At 43.6% G+C, this 17,226-nt stretch overlaps 1 protein-coding gene and 1 long non-coding RNA gene across 9 annotated transcripts in view; one reads left to right on the top strand and one right to left on the bottom strand.

The window, feature by feature from the left end:
* The window catches only part of FMO1 (flavin containing dimethylaniline monoxygenase 1), a 37,485-nt gene extending 20,438 nt beyond the window's left edge, over window positions 1-17,047 (bottom strand). For 5 of the 7 annotated variants that reach the window (XM_005245038.5, XM_006711241.5, NM_001282693.2 and 2 more), the window contains exons 1-2: window positions 16,918-17,047; window positions 7,322-7,459 (exon numbers count right to left, since the gene is read on the bottom strand). In XM_005245038.5, coding sequence (XP_005245095.1) covers window positions 7,322-7,453 — 132 coding nt within the window. In that variant the 5' untranslated portion in view covers window positions 7,454-7,459; window positions 16,918-17,047. Of the gene's footprint in view, window positions 1-7,321; window positions 7,619-16,917 lie in introns of those variants that run through there. The other 2 variants (NM_002021.3, NM_001282692.1) reach the window with 2 other exon arrangements.
* FMO1-AS1 (FMO1 antisense RNA 1) overlaps window positions 13,652-17,226 on the top strand; it is a 131,518-nt gene continuing 127,943 nt past the window's right edge. For both annotated transcript variants that reach the window (XR_922278.4, XR_001738291.3), the window contains exon 1: window positions 13,652-14,018. This is a non-coding gene — a long non-coding RNA (FMO1 antisense RNA 1). The remainder of the gene's footprint in view (window positions 14,019-17,226) is intronic.

Here is a 17,226-nt window from a genome sequence, read left to right as displayed (position 1 = left end):
TATGTTGTTTAATGACACTTACTGAAATTAATTTTATAATTTCTGACTCTATAAATTTCAAATTTACATTTTGTATTTTTTGTTTGTGTCATTTTCATTTTTCTAAGCATTCTTTTTTTTTTTCTTTTTCTTTTTTATTTTTCTTTTTTTGAGACGGAGCCTCGCTCTGTCGCCCAGGCTAGCGTGCAGTGGCTTAATCTCTGCTCACTGCAAGCTCTGCCTCCCGGGTTCATGCCATTCTCCTGCCTCAGCCTCCCGAGTAGCTGGGACTACAGGCACCCGCCACCACGCTTGGCTAATTTTTTTGTATTTTTAGTAGAGACGGGGTTTCACCGTGTTAGCCAGGATGGTCTCAATCTCCTGACCTCATGATCCGCCTGCCTTGGCCTCCCAAAGTGCTGGGATTACAAGCATGAGCCACCTCGCCCGGCCGGATTCTTTTTTATTATATTTGACAACAGTCTACAATTAATTGGAAAAAAACTTGATTGTTCTTCACTGTTTGAGAAGCACAGCTCTGTAGCTCAGCGCCTTTTAATTTTGTTAGGAATTGCCTGGGTAGTCTAACAAACATGTGGATGCTGACTCTGTAAGTCAGGGTGAGCCTGAGATTGTGCATTTCTTTTGTTTTTGTTTTTTTTTGAGATGGAGTCTCGCTCTGTCGCCCAGGAAGGAGTGAAGTCACCCGATCTTGGCTCACTGCAAGCTCCGCCTCCTGGGTTCACGACTTTCTCCTGCCTCGGCCTCCCGAGTAGTTGGGACTACAGGCGCCGGCCACCACGCCCTGCTAATTTTATTTTATTTTTTGTATTTTTAGTAGAGACGGGGTTTCACCATGTTAGCCAGGATGGTCTCCATCTCCTGACCTCGTGATCCGCCCTTCTCGGCCTCCCAAATTGCTGAGATTACAGGCGTGAGCCACTGCCCCTGTCCGAGATTGTGCATTTATAAGAAGCTCCTATGCAGACGCTGCTGGCCCATGGACCATATTTTGAGTGAGAGTGCTTTAGGATGCCCAATAGGATGTATAGATGCCACATAAACACTTTTGAATTTACCAGTGGCCCCATTAAAAAAGTAAAAAGAAACAAGTGAAATTAATTTTAAGAGTATATTTTATTTAACTCAATATACCCAAAATATAATTTTTCTCTCTATATATAAATATAAATTTAATATATATATAAATGTGTGTGTGTGTGTGTATATATATATACACACACACAAATTAAAAATTTTAAAGCATTTTGTAATGGCATATTTAAATATCAGCAATTCATTGGAACTGGATAAGCCAGGGAACCATTTATTTTATGAGAACTTAAGGCCAATGAACTAACAAAAATAGAGGGAAAAATAACCCTTCTGTTTCTCAAAACGTAGGAAGATAATTTTCAAGGCAGAAAGATGAAGCGCTTCCAGGAAACACTGAAGCCTGTTGTGAAATAATGTATCACAGATGTTAACATATGAGAAACTGTAGCTTACAGAGGAAACTTAGCCCTTAGGATAAAATCTAAGACCAATACTTACTCTTGTCTCTCTTTCCTTCTATTGATTGTTTCTCCTGGAAATAGAAAAGGTCTGGAGTATTTAGCATATATACAGGGAGTATGAGTCCCTGCCCCTTCTGAATGGTATTGGTGGGACCTGGCCCCTCACCTCCAGTGTTCGCCTCACTGTGCAATCTGCCCCAGTGATTCCCAGGCCCTGCCAGCCTTCAATACCCACACTGCACCCTCCCACCCGTGCTGCAGACACTCTGGGAATTGTACCTGGTGGGGGGTCCACCAGTTGCCTTGAACTCCGAGTGTGGAAGCACGTGCCCTCTAAAAATGGATGGGGCGACTTAGGAGAAGATTTTTGTTTTCATGAAGAGAAAAATGAGTGAGTAGAGAAAAAAGGAGAGGAGGGTTGAACCATGGAAAGAGGGAAGAGACTAAGAGCATGAGCAGAGGTGTTTCTGTCCTTCTGGTCCACTTTGGTCCTGCAGCACAGTTGGGAGGTCACCATCACCACTGGGACACTTGCTGGGACTCTTTGAGACGCAGCCCAGGATTTGCCTGATTCTTGAGCTGTGAAACAGACTCCAGAAATGCATGCAATGTAGTTCTTAACAGAATAGGCCTCAATGTCAGACTGCCTAGGTTCATACTCAAGCTCTACATTTTTAGCTGGCTGATCTGGGAATTTTCTTAACTTCTCTCAGTTTCCATATCTATATGCTGGAACCGCAATATTACATAGCCCCTAGGAGAAATTGGAGTGATAGCTATCATGCTAATGGAACAATGAAGCAATCGTATCATGCTAATGGTACTAATGGAACAATGCCTCTAGGCTGTCAATAATATTAATCATTATTTGTATTATTCTTTCACAGCTACCATGGAAATTTACTTTCTTAAGCTTGTATCCTTCAGGCAGGAGTGTAGGCAATGGGAAGAAAATTTTGTCAGGTCAGTTCTTTTCTTTCTCATTTTAAAAACGGATATAAAGTGATAATAAAATTCACCCCTAAATAGAGACCTTCTCTCTATATGCACAACATTCACGTCTCCTGTTCTCCAAGAATGTTAATTTCTTCCTTCTTTTAATTTCCTTAAAACAGCTGGCACCCATTTTACTTTGTTGCCCCTTCTGCCTAGTGTGAGAGTCAGACTCTCACTGGAGGACAGGGTCCAGTTTCTGGGTCTATATCGCAGGAGAGCTGTGGAAACCTCAGAGGAAATTTGGGGAACCTCCAAGAATGCAAGCTCCATGAGGATAGGGGCCTGTCAGGGGTACCCCACTAGGATGATAGTAATTAAAAATGTTTATTGAATATACGAATAGACGTTTTAGAAATAAGGCTTTTAATGAAAGGTTACAGGAATCAGATTTACCAAACCTAAAGAAGAAATAGTTGAGGAACTATTCTTGTGATTTAAAAGTGTGAAGTATTTTTACACTTCATCATTGCCCTCACTGAATGTAAAAAATGTGGTATGTAAGGCACATAGTAGGGTTTCAATCAATGTTTGTTGAATAAATGAAAGCGTGCATGTGCGGAGGAAAAGAACTGGATGCACATGAGGAAAATATCATTCTAGGGAGGGTTACTGGGCCCCAGCAAATGTTACAGGGAGGTGAAGGATGAAGCACAGTGTATTTTTACCCCACAGTACTGTTAGTCACCTCTAGATGATGTCTGTGTGCTTTTACCTGAAGACTGGGTAGCTGGGATTACAGGCGCACGCCACCATGCCTGGCTAATTTTCATATTTTTAGTAGAGATGGGGTTTCGTCATGTTGACCAGGCTGGTCTCGAACTCCTGACCTCAGGTGATCTGTCCACCTCGGCCTTCCAAAGTGCTGGGATTACAGGCGTGAGCCACTGTGCCTGGCTGACCTTCTCTATTTTTCTAATTCTCCAAGGTCTCTTCCTATACTAAAATTCTCTGAAAGTAATATTTGATGATAATTCCTCAAATTTTGTTTCAAGTATCACTTTTTAATGGCGATAGTCAACCTACAGTTTTACTTTCCTAAGCCTCCCCTCCCTCTCAAGAGTCTGAGAAGTGTTTCACACACATGTCCAGCCTCTACTTGGGTCAGAAGTGGTTCTTTATCCCTGTAGCATTTTTCTTTTTAATGGTTTCCACCCTCTCTCCTTCCCCAGTGTATGATGTTCTTTCTTTTTCATTGTAACTCCTGCCTTATCTCTCTTTTCCTTAAAACTGTGGTAGCTGGGAGAGGCCAGAGTCATGACATTGTGAGTATCCAATGAAATGCGGTAATTTATTTATTTATTTTTGTCTTTTTTTTCCTTTTTATGGAGAACGGAACGGGGTCTTGTTATATTGCCCAGGCAGGTCTTGAACTCCTGGGCTCAAGCTATCCTCCTGCCTCTGCCACCCTAAGAGCTGGGATTACAGGCATGAGCCACCGCGCCTGGCCAAAATGCAGTAATTTATGATGTCTATATTCTCTGGGGCCTCTCCCCATCTGGAAATGGAAACTGTCACCACATGTGTTTTATTGGATCTCTGCAATTTGCCTTTCTACTTTTGCATTATGGTCCCTTCCACCCTAAGGCAGTAAGAATTCCCTTCTGAACACTTTCTAGCAAGCACAGCCATTGCCAGGGCAGGGTTTTTGATTTTACAGGTTTTAAATGGGCCACCTACCTTGAGTGCAAAGACATCTCTAACCTTTTGTGTGTGTGTGTGTGTGTGTGCCTGTGTGTGTTGGGGAAGGAGGGAAAGGAATGTCTCTAGAAAGACTCAGGAGACTCATCGCATATTAGAGCTGAAGGCACCTTCAAGATTGCCTAGTTTAGGAATGTCCAGTCAAGCTTTAGAGAAATCTCAAGGTATTACAGAGGTGCCTAAAAAGGCTGCAGTGTCAAGAGAAGGCTGCTGCATGAAGGTGAGGGTGGATTTTCCTAAGCCCGTTACTAATTCAGCTTTTGTATGTGTTTCATACTGGTCCCATGTTTTCATTTTATAAATGAGGTAATAGAGCTGGAATGACTTGTAAATTGGGTGCCATTTTACCTTGGCTACTGCTTGATATTCCTCTTACTAATCTTTTTGATGTCCTATTGCATTCTCCACAATATTCTTTTTTTTTTTTTTTTTTTTTTTGAGATGGAGCCTTTCTGTGTCACCCAGGCTGGAGTGCAGTGGTACAATCTTGTCCCCCAGGTTCCAGCGATTCTCCTGCCTCAGCCTCCTGAGTAGCTGGGATTACAGGTGCATGCCACCATGCCTGGCTAATTTTTGTATTTTAGTAGAGATGGGATTTCGCCATGTTGACCAGGCTGGTCTCGAACTCCTGACCTCAGGTGATCTGTCCACCTCGGCCTTCCAAAGTGCTGGGATTACAGGCGTGAGCCACCGTGCCTGGCTGACCTTCTCTATTTTTCTAATTCTCCAACCCCATTTGCCACCCCCACACCCTCTTTACCCTTGCAGGTGCCATATTTTCTCGATAGAATTGAGGGCCTCTGGTGTGAGTGCTCTTATATCTTCTTCCTCTACCTCAAAATTTCTCTTCCATGTTCACCTTCCCTTCCCCTCCAATCTCTGGGGAGGGTGTATCTCTTGTCTCCCCACCTTGCCAGGGCTAACCCTTCCACTGGTACCTACAATTCCACTCCTCCCTTTTCCTGCCAGGATTGTGTCTCAATTTGGATTTATGTGCTCAGTTATTTCTGGTCATCCAGATAGTTTCTATTTGCCTACAAAAATCTTTGGGTCTTCCTATCATGCAAACAAAACAAACGCGACAACCAGGAAATCTCCTTAATTTTGTTCCTCATTACCTATTGCTTTTAAAACTGAGTATAAACCCCTTGCCCAAACATGCAGCCACCCTTTTCCCTCCCATTCTTCCTCTTACGTGTACCTTATGCACCAAAAAGCTATTTTTACTTTCTGAATATGCCCAGTACTTTTTCTTTACTGTCCCTACCCTCCCTGGTGTCTTCTGCTCAATCTTGTCTACCTGTTGAAATTTTTCAAAGTCCATCACACACTACCTCTTCAGTGAAGCCTTTTCTGGCTTCCTAAATGTGGCTGTCATCCTGCTCTCAATGAAATGCTCACAGCACTGTTTCTGACTTGCAGAATCCTAGCCTTCTTCCATCTACCTGACAGCTCCTGAGGGCAGGGTGAATCCTCATTTTTGTGTCCCCCACAGGGTTTTGTGCTTTGTGCACTGGTGTTTGACCTACCTGCATCACACAGCTGGAAATGGGCCCAGCTGGATCCAGACTCATTTCTCTTGATTCTTAGATCAGTGATTTTTAGTGTTGATGATTAGGTGCCTGTGACCTATACAAGGAGCATTTATGTCTGGTGCTGCAAGAGGCTAAGTACTGCTTTTGATCTTTAGGTTTAGTTTTTGTTTTGACTGAGATTACTTTAGTCAAATAACTCGGCTAATTTAGTTAGGCAGTTTCATCTTTCAAGCCAACTCCTGACCCTGACTGATTAGGTATGCTTGTTTGGAATAATGTTAAGAAGGATTCTGAGGCTCCCTAGGGGAAAGGCATCATGTTTGATAATAATGTCTTCGATGGACATGGGAGTGGGGAGATTTTTGGCCTAGGTGTCAGGTTTCTGCCATCCTGTTGGAACATATGTGGTTTGATTCCTGAGAAGAGGCATGCTCTTTTACCTTGTCCTCTTTGGCAGTCTCCATGCATTGATGATCACATTTGGTGGGTACACTTTAAGATATGCAGTTCTTTATGTGAGCCAAGCCGCCTATGCTGGAGGACTGTGACTAAACTAGTAACCTTGGCCTCTCTGGAGTTTTACTCACTGAGCTAGAAAATAATTACTTTACTTCAGTTCCAAATTCTACCCTTCTGTAACAGAGAAATGCTGTGTCTTTCTCTCAGCCCCTCAGGGGATCTGAGGCGGGGCTATCTGATACCTTGCTTCTTTTCACTCTTTCTGACAGCTTTCTCCTCAGCAAATTTAAAGCTCATGGGAAATGTTTTTGCTCAAAAGGAGGGAAAATAGAAACTCTGGAAAGATTTGATGCAAATGTTTCCCTGACTAAGCCATGGAGTTCAGGGAACATTTTCCCTGCCTGGCTTCAGGGTTTCAATGGCTTTAAGAAGGGCCCTTGTGATCTCGTGGGGCCCCAGGCCAGGCAAGGGTGGGCTTTATAGTCCCCTTTCCTCGGTCCTCACCCCTTCATTCCTTTCTCCGATCCAGGCAGTAACCCTGCTGAGACTTGAGTATATTACTTTTCTTCTGCTCAGGGAATAAAAAAAAGACTCAAAACTCACATTCTTTACTTCTGTTTGTTCTTGGCCTGCACTGGGATTGCCAGGTCAGCAGGACCTTGATTATGGAGCTCATCCTACACAGAGCCCTGAGTCTGTAATGCAGACGGAGCCAGGCTGGGAAAAGAAGCAGGTAAAAGCAGCTCAGTCTTGCAGGCAGAGGCTGAAATTCTTGCTCTTGCTCCTAACACTGCCGTCTCTGGCCCTGCTTCAGACGCCCTGGTCCTGCTCCTTTGCTCCTAGGCTTTCCTGGCCTGGCCCAGTTACTCCATTCTCTTCCATACTTCTTGGGCATCTTTGGAAACACTTCTTCCCCTTGGCTCTAGATAAAGTGTACAAGTCTGTTCTGACTTCCACCCTAGCTCACCCATGTCCTGTTTCTTTTACAATTTCAGTGGCTCCTCATGGTCCCCTGTTCAGCAGACATTTCTAACCTTCCTCAAGGCCACCAACCCTTGTGAAAGAAGCACAGATATAATTTCCCAGCTGCCAAGCCATTCTCCAATAGACAGATAAAGTTGTTGAAACCCCACTTACGGTGAATCTCCACAGCCCCCCAAGGTCATCGCTCCTCTCAAAGCAGGTGGGCTCCAGTCCTTCTTCCAGACAGCACTTGATGGAGGCCAGGCCGCTGACCCCAGCTCCCACAATGGCAACTCGCTTGGCCATGTTCTCCTGCATGAGGAAGATGAAGCAGGCTTTTTATTCACAAGCTCCACCCCACCCTTGGCTGCTCTAACAAGCCAGGAAAAAGAATTTGGAAGATTAGGCGATTTGCTCAGTTTGAATCTTCTGTAGCGGGTCTCTGGTGTGTGAATGTGAGAAGGAAAATGTTCAGGTCACTGGTTAACCCTGTGCTTGGTATGTTCCCGCCCCTCATGCAGCACCAGTGCCAAATGTTCGTACAGTTGTCAAGGCTGTAGCTTCTGGCAGAGCTGCTGGAATTGGACCTTTTACTGGATAAAGTCTTGCACTTCAGACTGAGCTGCTGCCTCTAGTCTCCATTCTGTGGCCCTAGAACTGCATAGATCAGCAGACTAGGAAAAGGTCACCTTGTCAGACACAATCTCTTTATCACATACAAAACTGAAGCTCCGATTGGTGTGGTGACCTGACACAACACCACACAGCAGCTGGTGGGGTGGAGTTGGGACCAGGAGCCACCACACCTGTGGCACCACGGGTGCTACCGCGGCACTGCCCTGTGTGATCCTGCCCCTGGCACAATGCCAGGGCCCCAGCTGTGCTGTTGGTGTGTCCCTTTCACAGGTCACCAGTGATGGTCACCAGTGGGAGAGAGAGAGGGTGGCTGCCAGGGAGGGTTTGTGGTAGAAAGGTAGGCATGCAAAGCCATCCCTCCCTTCTCAATTGGATACTGATTCACCTCCAGGGCACATGGCACAGTCACCACTGGGATGGGCCAGAGAATCTTCTGGCACCAGGCCATGTGTTAATAACACACATGTGTAAGAACACCGAGAGGCAACAGAGTGCATTGATTAAGCAACCAGGCTCTGGATCCAGGCTGCCTGAGATAAAGCGCGGCTCTATCAGTTACGACAGTGTAATCTTGGACAGATTAACCCTTCTGTGCATCACAAATATAAAGAAAACAATAGTAGCTTCCTTGAAGTGTTCTGTGAGAATCAAGTGAGTTAATAATGTAAGGCGTCTCAGAATAGCTCCTGGCACATAGTAAGTGCTCAGTAGCTGTAAGTTATTGAAACTTTAAAAGCATTTCCAAGAATTGGTATCTGCCTTTCACATCAATGAGCCTCTGTTCTTTTAATTCCTATAGCATTTCTGGTCAGTAGCACACACATTTGTCACTAAATTATGTGATGTTAGCTTTTCCCCCAATATATTTTTGTGACAGTTTTATCTCCCTAAGTTTGTTAAGTGCAGTGCCCCCAAAGACATAATTTTTCTAAAAATTTGCTATTTTTTATTTCACAGGTGAATTCTCTTCTCAAAGCTGGATATGCATCTTTTTTTGTTTTGGATTAGGAACCTGAGAGAAGCAGCTCAACTGTAGAGACTAAAATATTCAATATTTTAGTCTTAACTGTAGAGACTAAAATGCTCAATTTTTTTTAATGAAATAAAAAGGTCCTCTTTTTTCAAGCAACATGTAAAAGTGTTGCAGGGCTGGTTGCTTCCCATAGCAACTGGATATAATTTACTGGGGAAGAACCAGTAGATTCCTTCTAGGGGAATTCATGTTTTAGGCCCTGAAGGACACTATAAAATCAAAAACCTTGTATAATTTTCCCCTCTCTGGGCCCAACAGGAGTAAGGTGACCCCACATTTAGAGAGGCAGTTGTGAAGTATGGGTATTGGGGGTAGACACATGTGTTTCAGAATCCTATTCTATCATGAGTCAACTTGGTGATATAGGAAAATGACTTACCCCTTTTGAGCCTCAGTTTACTCACTCGCAAGATGGGATAGAATGCTACTCTTTTTTTTTTTTTTTTTTTTTTGAGATGGAGTCTTGCACTGTTGCCCAGGCTGGAGTGCAGTGGTGAGATCTCGGCTCACTGCAAGCTCTGCCTCCTAGGTTCACACCATTCTCCTGCCTCAGCCTCCTGAATAGCTGGGACTACAGGCGCCCGCCACCATGCCTGGCTAATTTTTTGTATTTTTAGTAGAGACGGGGTTTCACCATGTTAGCCAGGATGGTCTTGATCTCCTAACCTCGTGATCAGCCTGCCTCAGCCTCCCAAAGTGCTGGGATTACAGGCGTGAGCCACTGTGCCCGGCCAAATGCTACTCATTTTTGTATGACATAGTAGCCATTTGATAAAGAATATCCACTTTTATGAGAAAAACAATTCCAGGAAAAAGGAAAGAGTATTGCATATATACATATGATATTGGCAGTTGTGCACAGAAGCATGCTGGCTCTATAAAGACAGCAGGTCTGACCATAGCATGACATTAGTGCCCACAGCAGGACAGCAGGAAAGAAAGCAGGTTCTTTGTGTTAGGGGAGGGTGAGGAGCCATTTCCATGAGCTGGGATGAGAAAGAGGGTGAGGCAATTTTCCTATCTCCCCTGAAACTAGAGAGGAGGCCAGTAGAGGGGGGCCTGGAGAAAGGCTAGTAGTGTTTATCCTGCCAGGGTGTCCAGAAGGGTGTCCCAGACAGAAGGAATGGGCTCCTAGTGTAGAAAGGACCAGTGTTATATATTTCCTTGACTAGAATGTAGTTTCAGGTACCCACTGCTGACTGAAAGCACCTGGCTGGTTTAGTAAGAAGGAACTACCTACTCCAAGTGCCTGGAGCAGAGGGAAGTACAGCTGGAGACCTGGATCTGCTGTGAGCTAGCTGTGGAGACCTTGAGCAGGGGACTGAACTGCCCTGGGCTCACTTTGCAAAAGAGGATCTAAGTTGTCTCTTAATCTAAGCACCTGACTCAGTAATGTAAACATTTGCCTTTAAACATTTGAAGGATCAACATGGAGAGAAAGATTAGAATTATGGCCAGCGGTGGAACTGAAAAGGCACATTTTTGCTTATAGCACCTTCCAGCATTTCAAGCTCTAAAATTGGCTTTATTCAAGCAGCATCTAGATGACAAATATTTGGAGGTATTATAAGCAGATTAACACATTATATAGAGGGTGAAACGAAATGCCCTATAACATTCTATCAACTCAGATCTGTGATTCATTCTCTGATGAGCTCAGGCATCAAACACTCCGTGGTTTCTATATTGCTAAGCCCAAGTTTGTGTATTGGGATTGCAAAGGAAGAATAAGGCATGACGCTTTCTCTAGAGCAGCAATCAGTCTGGTAGGGAAGTGAGACGTGAAAATCTATAATTACAAGATTCTGTGTAAGATGCTAAGACAGAAGTATGTCTTATGTACAAATTGCAATAAGAGCACAAAGAAAGAGGTGCCAATTCTGACAATGGGTTGGTAGGAAAACAACACAGACGATTACTATTTGCTCCAGATTTTGAAGGATGAATAGACTTCAGTGGGCAGAGAAGGGAAGAAAGTGGGCTCTAGAGTTAGGGAGCACTGAGAGTAGGGGCTGGAGGTGGTCACAGAGGTGTGAGAAGCTGCCTGACCCCACAGTAAGCTTGCCTTACTCTTGAGTGCTAGACCAACGACAGTGTATCATCCATAAGACATTGTTGATGAACTGATCATGTCTATTAGTCTTCTGTATATATAAGGTATATGTTTCCCCAAAGTAGGCATTTTCTTTGGCTCATCTCTTATTTTCTTGTAGCTCCTAACAACACACTTGGTCTATAATAGCTGTTGTGTAACTATTTGGCAATGGGTTGATTTTGTGATGGGTAAAATGAATTCATTTATCATCTATATCCATTTCAATTTAAAAATTAACTCGGGCCGGGGTGGTGGTTCATGCCTATAATCCTAGCACTTTGGGAGGACGAGATGGGCAGATCACTTAAGGTCAGAAGTTCGAAACCAGCTGGCCAACATGGTGAAACCCTGTCTCTACCAAAAATACAAAAAAGTTAGCTGGGCATGGTGGTGTGCACCTGTAATCCCAGCTACTTGGGAGGCTGAGGCAGGGGAATTGCTTGAACCTGGGAAGTGGAGGTTGCAGTGAGCCAAGATCGTGCCACTGCACTCCAGCCTGGGTGACAGAGCAAGACTCCATTTTAAAAAAAAAAAGTTAACTCAGTAAAAATTTGCTGTAAGCTAATATCCTAGGTCAAAGATTCCTTCCTCAAAATTACCTTTTATTGGCTAGTCCAAAGGTAGTACGCTAACTCGATTGATTGTTTACAGTTACAGAGTTACAGATTGAACTCCTTGTTCTACTTTTTCCCCCTTTCTCACTACTGTACTTGACTAGTCTTAAAAAATACACAACTTTTTGTTAAACATCCAGTATACAGAAGCCTTCTACCTGGGCCACCACCATACCTCAGCTGGACCAATGTAGTCAGACTTCTCTGAGCAGTAAATCTCCCTGGGGCTTTTCCTTATTATTATTATTATTTTTGAGATGGAGTTTCACTGTTGTTGCCCAGGCTGGAGTGTAATTGCATGATCTCGGCTCACTGCAACCTCCGCCTCCTGGGTTCGAGCGATTCTCCTGCCTCAGCCTCCCGAGTAGCTGGGATTACAAGTGCACACCACCACGTCTGGCTACTTTTGTATTTTTAGTAGAGATGGGGTTTCTCCATGTCGGTTAGGCTGGTCTCGAACTCCCGACCTCAGGTGATCCACCCGCCTCGGCCTCCCTTATTATTATTTTTTAAGGAGATGAGGTCTCACTATGTTGCCCAGGTTAGTTTTGAATGTCTGGGCTCAAGTGATCCTCCTGCCTCTGCATCCCAAAGTAGCTGGGACCATAGCCATGAGCCACCATGCCTGGCAGTCTTTTGAGCTTTTCGTGGTGCAGGTAGAGGGTTTAATTTGATATTTTTGTGGATGTCTGACTTGAAAATTTCAGGTTTATTTATGAAGACAAAGTCACAGTATATCTGGAATCAGAGCCATGGGGTAAACTAGAAATGTGTGTTTAATGATTGTGTTTTAGAAAGTGAAGGAAATGAGTAGGGAAATATAAGAATGATGATAGAAGAAAGAGAGGGAAAGAAAAAAGGACACAAAGTCGGTTTCAAAGTCACCCTGAAAGGTTTTTTGTTTTTTTCTTTTAAGTTTTCAGTTCAGATCTGCTTGGTGTATCACCATGTTCCCATATGAGTTGTTGTCAAACGTGAGAAAAGCCAACATGAGAGCACATGAATGTGGAGGCGCACAATATCAATATCAGCTTCACTCTCAGATCAAAATTCATGCTTCCAACCACTCCTTCAAGTATTGACAATTATATGAAATCAAACTGATTTTTTATTTTTTATTTGAAAGACTGAGATTCATTTAAATAAACAAACTCATATTCCTGAAGCCCCAGACCGTGGTAGGCAGCCCTCCCTCTTCTGTCCCCTCACCCCCACCTGTTAGCCACAGTGAGAGGAACGGAAAATGAGAAAACACAAGAGCCTCTGCCAGAAAAGGCTGCACCAGATGTGTGGTGAGCACAGTGCACCTGTGGCTGTGGTGGCAGCTGCCACAGGCCCCTCCCTGTAAGTTAAGTCCCTGCAGCCACAGCTGTGGGAGAAGCGTACTTGTAGAAACAAGGCCAGTTCAGCATCAGAAGGCAGAGGCAGCATCACCGACTCTCAGCCATGGAATGGATGGAGAGCACAGGGCTCAGGGACAGAACAGGCCAGGTGGAAAGAGGAGAGGCATGGCGGGGGGCTGAGGCCCCTAAATTTTGGCCCTAGGGAAAGAGACGAGGGCAGTTGGTCCAGTTTTGATGGGTATGGGGAAGGGACTGTATTAGTAAGCACAGGGGGAGAGGATGCCAATAGGCACCCCAGAGGTGACAGGACAGTCTGAACCCCCACCCTGGCAGAAGGGAGCTTGACAGCTCTGGGGCTCTCTGGGAATGTCACTGCTAAAATGGATATTTATATATATATTAACCATTCATGGGAGGGCAGGGGCAGGGCCTGGGGTGGGATCGGAGGATCTGGCATCGCATCCTGTAGCTGGTCATGCCTACCTGAGAGGCCTGGAGGAAACCAAAGTGGTTTAAAACATTTAAGTGTGCTTCTTCAGAAAAAGTTTTGTCTCCCCACGCCACTTTTTATTTAAACTAAAAATAATTTCTTGTTAGTGACTGCTTTGCATTTAGACAGAGTGATTGATAACAATTTATAGGGGATTTTGTTGGGGTGAAAAGCACACTGACATGCCACCGCTGTTTATTGGAGTGCGATTTCACGTGCAAATGCAAAAACATTAAAAATGTTATTGCTCCTTATGTGCATATGCGGCAGCGCTCCTCGAGGGGGCACCAGCTGCGGGAAGTCTGTTCCTTGCAGACCCCTGACCACGCGATGAATGAATAAAGTACACTGACACACAGATATTCTGCTCTGCCAGTCCAGCTGAGGGTCCAAGCCCCTTACAGGCTCCCTGCTGAGCCCTGTAAACAGTTGCGACTCGGCAGGGAGCCTGTAAGCACCTGGGACCCTCAGAATATCTGTGTGTCAGCGTACTTTATTCACCGGTCATTGGGTCAGGGGTCTGCAAGGGACAGACTCCCCACAGCTGGTGACCCCTCGAGAGGAGCCCTGCCCCCAGCTGGTGCCCCATGTGAGGCGCTGTGTGAGGAACTGTGTGAGGAATGCTGTGAAGGAAACGCGACGAACCGCCCGAAAACGAAGGTAAGAAAAGAACCCGCGCGGTCAAGTCAGTGAGTTATCAGTAAGTCATTACTGCGGCAGCGCCTCTCACACGGGGTACCAACTGCGGCAGCGCCCCTCTCGAGGGGGCACCAGCTGCGGGGAGCCTGTCCCTTGCAGACCCCTGACCCAGCAATGGATGAATAAACGTACATTGACACACAGATATTCTGCCCTGCCAGTCCAGCTGAGGGTCCGAGCCACTTACAGGCTCCCTGCTGAGTCCTGTAAACAGTTGCGACTTGGCCCTGATCAGCTAGTCAGACTCACATTTATTCGGTAAGATTAATTAACAGAAGCTTGAGTCAACACCGTTAGAGGGTAATTGATATTATGGACTTCCCAAGTAAAAAGCACTTAAGCACCTGCCGTACATCAAAGGTTAGTTTTAAGATCACATGAGTAAACAAACTAGGTAGGTAAACTACTCTGCCTTCCTTTGTTACTACTTTAATTTGTTTAACTAAAGGTAAAGATCAGGTTGCCTTCAACCATATCTATTACTGAAGTTATGCAAACTTCTCGGCCTTCCAAGAAGATTTGTGTCTATCTCCATAACTATCTTTAATATTTTTCCCACCAGCCTGATTGAACCCCAGCATAGATATTTAATAAAAATTTGGCCATTCCGTTGTTGGAAGTTTTAAGATAAATTTATTATTATTATTTTAATGAGAAAAGCCTCAGTAAAGCTGACTAAATATAAAATAAATAAGAGATAAAAATAAGAAAATAGGACTAAATTAGGAAGGTAGATGCCAATGGGTGAAAATTGAGTGAAAAAAACAAGTAAAATAACTTAAGCAACATAAAATTACTAAATGAGTTGGGAAATCGCTATTGGTTGTATAAAAGTGACTGATTTTTAACTACAGGGTTAGAAACTACTATGCTTTTTTGTGAATTTTATACTGCTTCCTCTTCTTGAAAGTTGTAAAATGCAAATATATAATTTACTGAAGTCAGATTGAGTGTCCGCTTTGGTTTAGTAGGACAGTAGATCATGAGAGGTCAAAACATGAGGTGACGCCTGTCATTACCAAACTGCAGCGGCACTCTGAGCTATTTTAAAATTTTGAAGAAGCACAGTGATTCTTGATGTCAGTTGAACACTATGCTAAGTATTAGCTGAAAGTAGTTAACAGTTTTAATATTGTAAAAGACTGTGTTCCATTTGCTGACATCATATCTTTGCAAAGCTGGGTGTTTGACAATTGCTATGACAAAAAGCAAGTATTGCATGAAAACTGAGGTAGAATAGAAATGAAGGGTTCATGTCTGATCTGATTCCAAGGTTTGAGAAGTTGTGCAGTGCTCAGCAGGCACATAAACCTTATTATTAAGTAATTGGGATTAAGAATGAAATAAAAATATTATTTTTCTTTTAGTTTGTATATTACTTGTTCAAAAAACTACAAAGTTGTTAGAACATAAATAGTTATTAAGTTTTTGTCTACTTAATAGGAGAAACTATGGTCTGGGGGCACCTTGAAGAAATTGCACACCAAGGGCTCCTTGAACCTAGAAAGTTGAAAACTTCTGGGCAAGAGTTTTATTTTCCGAGTTTATTTTATTGACCCGGAGATTTTATTTGTTGATGTCAAGAAAATGCATATTATACTATATTTGAGGCTAGCATTGTATCAATTAGCCAATGTTTAACTGTTTCCAGTGTGACTCACCTATGCATTTACTAGGAAGCCATTGGCACTGTCAGATTTGTATCCAGCCCTCTATTTATGCATTCCCCATCTTCTCCTCCTTCCCTACTCCCTCTGTCTCTCTCTCTCACACACACACATACACACACACACACACTCCTACACCTTAGTGCATGAAAATACTTCAGAATACTGGTTGGCACAGACTGCACAATGATACCCTATCCTCAAGTGGGTTGTGACATTTCAGGAGTAATCAGAGAGAGATTCAGCTGGATGGCAGTTGGGGTGGGTGAAGGTGCCTACTTAGCCCCTGGGAACAAAGGAGCACAGCTGGTAAGAAACTTGGGTCCAAGGAGGGCCATACTCTGGGATTTCTGTCCTCTAGCAGCAGCTCCTCATTTACTCAAATGTTCCTAACCACAACAAGCAAATAAAAATTCTCCCAGGCTTTAGGTCCTCTGTGCCAGTTACAAGGCCATAGCAGATTCCCTAGGATGCAGGGGAAACTCTAATAACCAAGGACTCAGTTTCTCCATCTGCAGAACAGATGGCATAGACCTGAATATCTAAAAATGATTTTCAAACCCTTGATGTTTATGATCTTGTGAATTTAACTGGAGCAGGATTAGTAAAAAAGATGTGCCAATCACATGGAAATCAATAAATTTTGACATAATACATAGAATGAAGCACGAAACACTTTTAACAACAGAAAAAAAGATGACATGACAGAACAGATTAGTCAAATTCTAAAGGGGCTTGCCTTTTGCTTCCCACTTGTGCCAAATGCCAACATTTGGTAGTCACCCTTCAAAAACTATGATCTCAGACAATGTTAGAAGCTGCTGATGGAAGCACTAAAAAAAAAAAGAGACTTTTCCTCTTGCATTAGAAATCCAAGTTTTTCCCATTTGATTCAACCACTTAATAATCTACCCAACAGTATACTTACCTGTGTACATGGAAGACAGGTAAGTATACTGCTGGGTAGATTATTAAGTGGTTGAATCAATGATATTGTCCCATTATAAGTATCCAAACATTTACTACTCCTATACTTTGGGCCAAGGAGTAGCTTTATAGCTCCTCCAGGGTTGGACAGAGAAAGCTGCTTTCTGATAAGGTGGTTCTTCCCTGGAGCACAATAACAAAACAGGAAAACTCCAGACCCCACTTTCCTCATCCAAAGAAATCAGAGATTATATCTGGTTACTTACTTTACGTACTTGTAATTTCTGGTGCCAATGGCTCTGCCACGCAGGACTCTGGTATTAGCAGAGATCAAAATGAATCAGTATGAGCCAGTGCTGGCTTGGGAGTCCCCAGCACAGTGGATAAACCTGGTCTAAGAGATAAGGAATGTTAAATTTGAAACCCAAGGTTAGCCGTTGTTTATATTTTAACTTGTTGATTAATGCAACAGCGAAATGCTAGGAGAAACACTGTCTGGTGATATGTACTTTAGACTCACTCTTCTGCTTACAGACTATAAACTAAGTTAGGGAGTTACACCAGCATCCTCACTT

Source organism: Homo sapiens, chromosome 1 (genome assembly GCF_000001405.40).
Source record: "Homo sapiens chromosome 1, GRCh38.p14 Primary Assembly".
NCBI classification, from domain to species: Eukaryota; Metazoa; Chordata; class Mammalia; order Primates; family Hominidae; genus Homo; species Homo sapiens.
The sequence above is the reverse complement of the archived record's forward strand: the minus strand, read 5'-3'. Positions and strand labels throughout refer to the sequence as shown.